Source organism: Homo sapiens, chromosome 12 (genome assembly GCF_000001405.40).
Source record: "Homo sapiens chromosome 12, GRCh38.p14 Primary Assembly".
Classification (NCBI taxonomy): domain Eukaryota; kingdom Metazoa; phylum Chordata; class Mammalia; order Primates; family Hominidae; genus Homo; species Homo sapiens.
In genome coordinates, this window is record NC_000012.12 from 78,454,208 (window position 1) to 78,462,348 (window position 8,141).

General features: G+C 38.9%; 1 annotated feature.

Moving 5' to 3' along the window:
- Positions 3,969-4,018: a silencer, noted in NCBI's record as "silent region_4679". NCBI's record gives its function as "represses an Ori minimal core promoter by ATAC-STARR-seq in GM12878 lymphoblastoid cells {active_cell/tissue: GM12878}" and the evidence as "EXISTENCE:reporter gene assay evidence [ECO:0000049][PMID:35858748]".

An 8,141-nucleotide genomic window follows, 5' to 3' on the forward strand; every position in this document is an offset into this window, starting at 1 on the left:
ACAGATCAAATATTCAGTGCATCTGTATTTTTGGAATGCTTGGTGTAGGTACAAAGAGCTTTTTGCTAGGAAAAGGAGATTCTCTGCCAAAGAAGGAAAATGCAGTTCTCATGGCAAAATGCATTAGAAATAACTTACCTCAAATAGAGGATAATACCATATTTATTGCAAGAATCTATCATTCTTTTCATGATACTTAGAAGTTTTGTTTGTTTGTTTGTTTGTTCGTTTGTTTGAGGCAGAGTCTCACTCTGTCGCCCAGGCTGGAGTGCAGTGGCGTGATCTCGGCTCACTGCAAGCTCCACCTTCTGAGTTCACGCCATTCTACTGCCTCAGCCTCCCAAGTAGCTGGGACTACAGGCGCCCACCACCACGCCCGGCTTATTTTTTGTATTTTTAGTAGAGACGGGGTTTCACCGCGTTAGCCAAGATGGTCTCGATCTCCTGACCTCATGATTCACCCGCCTCAGCCTCCCAAAGTGCTGGGATTACAGGCGTGAGCCACTGCGCCCGGCCTGATACTTAGAAGTTTTGAAGTAAAAGAATATTGTGATTGAAGACTTGAATTTCATTTCAAATTTTGGCTCTATGGCCTTAGGTAAATCACTTAACCTTTTGAAGTCTCAGTGCACAGGACTGTAAAAGAGGAAATCCGGTATTCTTCAGGGTATTTTCAAGTCTAAAACGCTATGAACACAAAATAATTTTTTCATAGTCTATGACAAGAGTCTTCATCAAAACTCTTAAAGAAGTAACTTTTTCTTTGAAGGATTCTCCAGTCCTTTTGTATAGTGCCACCTTAAATTAGCTCTCACTGGATTTCTAGTTGGTTCTGCATCCATTCTTTAAGTGGCCCACCATTTTATCCTATTATCTTGTTTGCCTATTTTTGAAGCATGATGTGCTTTTAACAAGTATTTCCCAAATATATTTGATTACAGAACCTCCCACCTACTTCTAACCAAAACTTCTAAGCAAGCCACCTTGGGGAACACTGTCCTCAGTCTTTATCCTCTAGCACCAGAACATTTTTATTTCATATCCCTATCCCACTCAGCCTCCATTTACAGAAGATATTTGATAAACCTATTTCTTTTAGTCTGATATGGGGAAAGGGTGCCAATGCTTCTGCTTACAGTTAACTTATTTGATTAAAAAATATATGCTCTCTAAAGAAAGTATAATAGAGCAACTTGTTTTTCATAATTGGTATTCTATGTAATGTGATCTGCAGGATTTTGATTAGATAAGTTCCAGCTTCCTTCACATCATGTAAGAGAGTCTGTTGGTAGATCATCTATGTTATCCTACCATTTTTATTTATCATATTGATATTTTTGCTATGTAGCTATCATCTTAGGAAACATTTTACTCTCATTTTTGACATTTAAAAAATCTGATTCCATTACATTTTGTTAACTAACAAAAATCTGTTCTTTTGTCTTTGTAGAACAAATTAGACATTTTTATAAGGGCAATTCTTATTCCCTTTCTTTGCTTTCCAATAGCTAGTTTTGTCACTTAACATTGGTGACATGCCTGACTTCGGCTTGAGCTGCTTCTTCCACATTTGGCCTAACACTTTTGAGTCTTCCATCCGGTAGATTTATCTGACATCTATCATAGTGGCCTCCTGACAGCACCTTTACAACACTATTACTGTAAAACTCAATTATATATACTTTATATCCTATCATTCTTACAACTATAACAATCTTCTAAAAATTTGACTTTCTAGCCTCAGCATAGACACTCTGGATCCTGATAGAAAACACTATAATTGTTGTGTCAACTAGAACATACATAAGATTGTCATCAACTCTGTAGCTATAAGACAACTCATATTGATCTGACACTTTATCTTTCCTCCATCATCTCCCTAGTTTCTCAAACCCTTCTGAGACCTACACGTGGTGACTAGCATTATTGCTTACAACCTCTTGGAGGCATAGAAAGATTAAGTGGCTCATGAATCACTCAGCAAACCTGGAACTCATTAATTCTCCTGTGTTCTAAACAAAAAGTCTTAACTGTGCTATCTTTATACTATCACACCTCATATGAGACAAGTCATGCTTCATGTATGAGAATAAATTTCAGGTCCTAAAACACTCATGCCTTCTCAAAGCTATATGCCCTACAATTACAACTCCAGCAAAGCAGTATCTTTAAGCCTCTGCTCAAAGTCTGCCAATGGGGCCACATCTATTTTTCAGATTATTACTTTAACTCCTTACATCATCTTCCTACCTCTACCTTAACTTATTTGTTGACTACTTTACCCTCACACAATCTACTGTCACTCCACTGGCTTCCTTGAGGTTCTTTAAACATGCCAGGCATAGTCCAAACTCAAGGCCATTGTACTGGCTGTTTTCTCTGCCTGGGTCTTTTTTTTTTTTTTTTTTCCAAGATTTTTGGTCTTCAGATATTCAAATGTCATCTTCTCAATGAAGCCAGTCTTGACTATTTCCTTTAAAATCATAACAACTGTTCCCCCACTTTAATTCTCTATGCCTTCCTTTTGTTCATAGCACATGTCATCTTTAATATGCTGTTATTTACTTGTTATGCTTGTTATGCATCATCTGTTTCCGTCAACTAGAAGGTAAGCTTCTCAATTGTAGGAATTGTCTGTTTTGTTTGTTGCTGTATCCACAGCACAATAAATATCAGTTGAATTAATGAATATACATTCTGCCAGTCTCTCTATAGGTTTGCAGACACCAACTATCCCTTCAAACTAGGCATTAGGATATTGTCTGTCTTTCCTAATGGAGAAGGTTAATAATCCTAGGGCTCCCTCAGAGGAAAAGGTGGCAGAACAATAGGCTCACTTTTGCACCTGGAGGGTAATCCAATTAAAAAACCCACCATATTCTAGAATAGAATATAGTTTAATAAAACATTTTGAAAATAAAAGCTTCCTGGTCAGCATTACTTTTATCAGCTGATATGTCTCTATAATGTAGCTCTTCTTTTCAGCTTTGAAATTGTAAAATACTCTTCCCTGGCTACAAGTCTGAGAAAAATAGTATCTAATTGCTATTTCTCTTTAGAGTGATCAAGCTACAGGGAAATTCACTTGTTAGCATTCTACTTTTACATTACTCTATAACTAGAAATATTTTTAATTTACAGGGCTATTTTACAAATGTCTTTCTCTCATTAGATATATTAATATATATGTATATTCATTTGGTATATGTGCGTGCGTGTCTGTGTGTTTTTGGTGAATTTGTGATTTAAAACTTTAGTGTTTGTTTCAGTGCCTGGGAGAATGTTTTAATTGTTTTCCTCCTAAAAGGATGCAAACTGTGTTCAGAGAGGTGGTGCCTCACTTATTCTACAAGATGCAGTGTTCAGGGTCTACTAACCATCATAGAATAGGATTTCTGATCAACCCGGAGAGTGATTACTTCACAACAGGTGGGATATATTTTAAGGCCTCTTTGCTTCTTTTTTGGAGTTGAAGAAGAGTGGGTAAAAAAAGATGGCCCCTTAGATGTTATCTGAACAAGCTCAATCTAAAAGATTTCTCCATTTTATCATTTTATTTCCTTAAAACATCGGCTGGACACAAAGGGAACTTCATTTGGTGCAAATTGCCTAGAGAAGATGTTAATTGAGGACAGTGGTATTGTGTAGCAGTTCACTGGCTCTATCAGAGGTTCAAATTTGTTGATTTACTTGGAAAATTAGAAATGGGAAGGTTGGTTTTTGGATAAGCACTTTTCAGGATTTGCGTTGAGCACTGAAAATGGAAGCAAGGAAGTCAAAGAATAAGTAGAGGACAAAAGATATAGACATATCTCAGGAAAACTATCTGGTTACAAGTGACTTGCTAATTTTCTGAGTACTATCTTTGTGTTCTTCCTGAAGTCTATTATCAAGTAAACAAAATGGGAACTGACTCATTCTGGTGTTTCATAAAGCTTAAGAACAAATCTCTCTCTTCCCTTCTCTCTCACTTCCTCCTGTTATAGACCACAGGCTTTTGGTCACACTCCTTCTCTTTCTCTTTTGTAAGCTAACAAGAAAATTGACTTTATTTCAAGATGTAGAGTCAAGTGGAGTAACAGCACTCTCTGAGATAAGCATTAGGTGTTCTTTCAGGCTGTTTCACAGTACATCTCATTTTCTTGAAAAGTCAGGTTAAATTAGCTAAATAACAATAAGGGGAATGCCCTCAGTTTGAAAGTCAATTGTAGTGATCCTGAAGCATTTTTACAAGGGTAATGAATTAGGAGAGATGTTGGATTTACTCCCTAAAACATCACATTGTTTTTACAAAATAGACTTTGTAAAAGTCTGGTGTGCTGGGCTAACAAATACGCCTTCTTGTGAGTTTCTATATGAGCAATATGAGATGACCATATTCAGGGGTTATGTGGAGGGAGGGAGTTAGAAAGGCTTGGGAGAGGGCAATCCTTTCCTATGGTGCCTGAAAATAAACACGATTCTTTGTTTTTGAGTAAGGACTGGCAGAGCTGTTTTGTGGAGTTCAGATAGTAGACTTTTTAGGCTTTACTGGTCTTATTGTTAGAGGTGGTGAGTATCCGAGCTACTAGCAGCGAATCCGTAGGGGTCTGCAGCAACCTCAATTCTTGTCTCCTCAGAAGAAAGAATTTGACTGTGGGGCATAAGGCAGAAAAAGAGATGGAGCCAAGTTTTAGAGTAGGAGTGAAAGTTTATTAAAAAGCTTTAGAGCAGGAATGAAAAGAAAAGTAGAGTACACCTGGAAGAGGGCCAAGAAGGCATCTTGGAGTACAAGTGTGGGGTTTGACCTTTGACTTGGGGTTTTATATGCTGGCATACTTCCAGAATCTCGCATCCCATTTCCCTTGATTATTCCCTTAGTGTGAGCTGCTCGCATGTGTGGTGGCCAGCTAGCACTTGGGAAGTGAGCATGTGCAGTGTGTTTACTGGAGTTGTATGGATGCTCACCTGAGCCATTCTCCCCTTTTCCAGTGGAATGCCCCCAGAAGCTCATATACCAGTTAAACTTTGCCATTTTGCTTCTTAATGGCATGCTCGAGCCCACTTGCCCAATTCCTGAGATCTTACTGGTGAGAGAAAGGACTAGCTGGATTTCCTAGGCCAACTAAGAATCCCTAAGCCTAGCTGGGAAGGTGACCACATCCACCTTTAAACATGGGGCTTGCAACTTAGCTCACACCCGACCAATCAGGTAGGAAAGAGAGCTCACTAAAATGCTAATTAGGCAAAAACTGGAGGTAAAGGAATAGCCAATCACCTGTTGCCTGAGAGCACAGCGGGAGGGACAATTATCAGGATATAAACCCAAGCATTCGAGCTGGCAACGGTAACCCCCTTTGGGTCCCCTCCCTTTGTATGGGAGCTCTATCTTCACTCTATTAAATCTTGCAACTGTACTCTTCTGGTCCGTGTTTGTTACGCTTGAGCTGAGCTTTCGCTCGCCATCCACCACTGCGTCGCAGACTTCCATCACTCCAGATCTGGAAGGGTGTCCACTGTGCTCTTGATCCAGCAAGGCGCCCATTGCCGCTCCAGATGGGGCTAAAGGCTTGCCATTGTTCCTGCATGACTAAGCGCCCAGGTTCGTCCTAATCGAGCTGAACACTAGTCACTGGGTTCCACAGTTCTCTTCCGTGACCCACGGCTTCTAATAGAGCTATAACACTCACCACATGGCCCAAGATTCCATTCCTTGGAATCCGTGAGGCCAAGAACCCCCAGGTCACAGAACATGAGGCTTGCCACCATCTTGGAAGCAGCCCGCCACCATCTTGGGAACTCTGTGAGAAAGGACCCTGTGGTAACACTGGGAAAGCTGTTGATCACCAGTTTCAGGTGTTTTGATCCATTGGGAAACTGCCATTCCCTGATGGTGGCTGTGACCAAATTTATTTGAAATATCAATCAGAAAAAAGAAACAAAAATTAATATAGTACTAGATTAATATAAATAGAGAGTTTATTTGGGCCAAGTTTGAGGACTGCAACCCGTGAGACATAGATTCAAGTTGCCCTGGATATATATGCTCCATAGTAGCAGTTACAAGTGGCTTTATAGGGGAAAAAGTTTTTAAGTTGATGTAAGCTATTGACTATTGTATTAGCTTGTGAACCCAAAAGTATCTGAGACAGGTCTCAATCAATTTTGAAAGTTTATTTTTCCAAGGTTAAGAATGCACCCATAACACAGCCTCAGGAGGACCTAATGTCATATGCCCAAGTTGGTCAGGGTACAGCTTGCCTTTTTTGTTGTTGTTGTTTGAGATGGAGTCTCACTCTGTCACCCAGGCTGGAGTGCAGTAGTGCGATCTCAGCTCACTGCAACCTCCGTCTCCCCGGTTCAAGTGATTCTCCTCCCTCAGCTTCCCAAGTAGCTGGGACTACAGACATGCACCACCACGCCTGGCTAATTTTTGTATTTTTAGTAGAGATGGGGTTTCACCATATTGACCAGGATGGTCTTGATCTCTTGACCTCGCAATCTGCTCTCCTCGGCCTCCCAAAGTGCTGGGATTACAGGTGTGAGCCACTGCACCCGGCAAGCTTGCTTTTATACTTTTTAGGGAGACAGAATACATCAATACCTGTAAGATGTACATTGGTTACATATGGAAAGCAAGACAACTTGAAGTGAAGGGGCTTCCTGTTCATAGGTAGATTTCAAATATTTTCTCATTGACAATTGGTTGAAAAAGTTAAGTTATTATTTGAAGACCTGGAGACAGTAGAAAGGAATGTCTGGGTTATGATGATAATGGGTTGTTGGAGTTTTATCACGCAGATGAAGCCTCCAGGTAGCAGGCTTCAGAGATAATCAATTGTACATATTTCTTATCAGACTTAAGTTCTGTGTTGATGTTAATGCTGGTTGGCTTTTCCTGGATTTCAAAAAGAAGGACAGTATAATGAGGCAAATGCAGCAATAGGTTTGGACAAAGGGGATATGATTTAATGGTAATAAATGGGGAAATCTTAGGAAGCCCCATTTGTTTTGATTATTCTGTTTCCCTATATCTTCAGAGATGAGGATGCTCCTTTCCTACAGATGTAGAACAGGTACCTCTAAGGGTCTTACTGTTTCAAGTGAAGGTCAGAAAATCCTTCCTAGATTTTATGACCTGCTTCAGGGGAGAAGGACAAGGGAAGGAGAGAGTAATCTTTTTGCTTCTGCTATTTTCTCAAATGTCACAGTGCCATAGTTTGAGGTAGTGCATCCTGAAACTCATCACTTTCAATAGAACATTTGATGGTCACTGGATTTTTTGTTTCATATCATTCTCATATGTCATGAAAAACTCTTCATTTTAAAAAAATTATTCAAAAATGCACAAACTATTCTTAGCTTTTGGACTCTATAAAACCCAAAATTTAGACAACAGACCATAGTTTGCTGACCCTTGTTTTAAACCTACAAACTGATATATGCCAAGGCTAGTGAATTTTATCAACGCACTTTTACACCTGGTCTAAAGTGGACTTTTTTGGGTTTTAGAAACGTCAAATTTATTAAAATATTTGATTTATACTATGTGTAATAGTCACTGTGGCTAGACTATAAGTAAATGTGATCCTAGTCCCAAAGGATTTATCAGTCTCTAGTAGGAGACAGATACCTAAACAATTAAATATAATTCTCCACTGAAACAAAAGTTAAGTATAAAGTATATGTAGAAACTTAGATTCAAGAGTGATTAATTTTAACTGAGAAGAATGGAGGACTCTGGAGACACTTCACAGAGTTAATGAGATTGAGCAAGACCTTGCAGGACTGGCAAATGAATGAATGATTTCTACCCACTAGACTGATTTGTTTATAGCTGTAGCCTCTAATATTCCATAGTTAAGGCAGCATTTGGAGCTTTAATATTAGTTTCAATTTATCTGCAACAATTGGATTGTTTTTCTTGGTGTGCATTTTATAGAATAAGCTATATTTTCCTGCTCATACAGGATACAACACCAAAACCTTCCTGAAACCAGATAAAATGTTAACTCTCCTTGACAGAAATCAATTAGAACATCAAATGGGTAATTGTTTATATTCTGAAAAGCAGCGTAAACTATAATGGAAAGAATAAAAAAAGCTAAAAATAAAATTGCAGAGGCAGTTTCTTCATTCAGTCATTTATTCAGTCAAATACT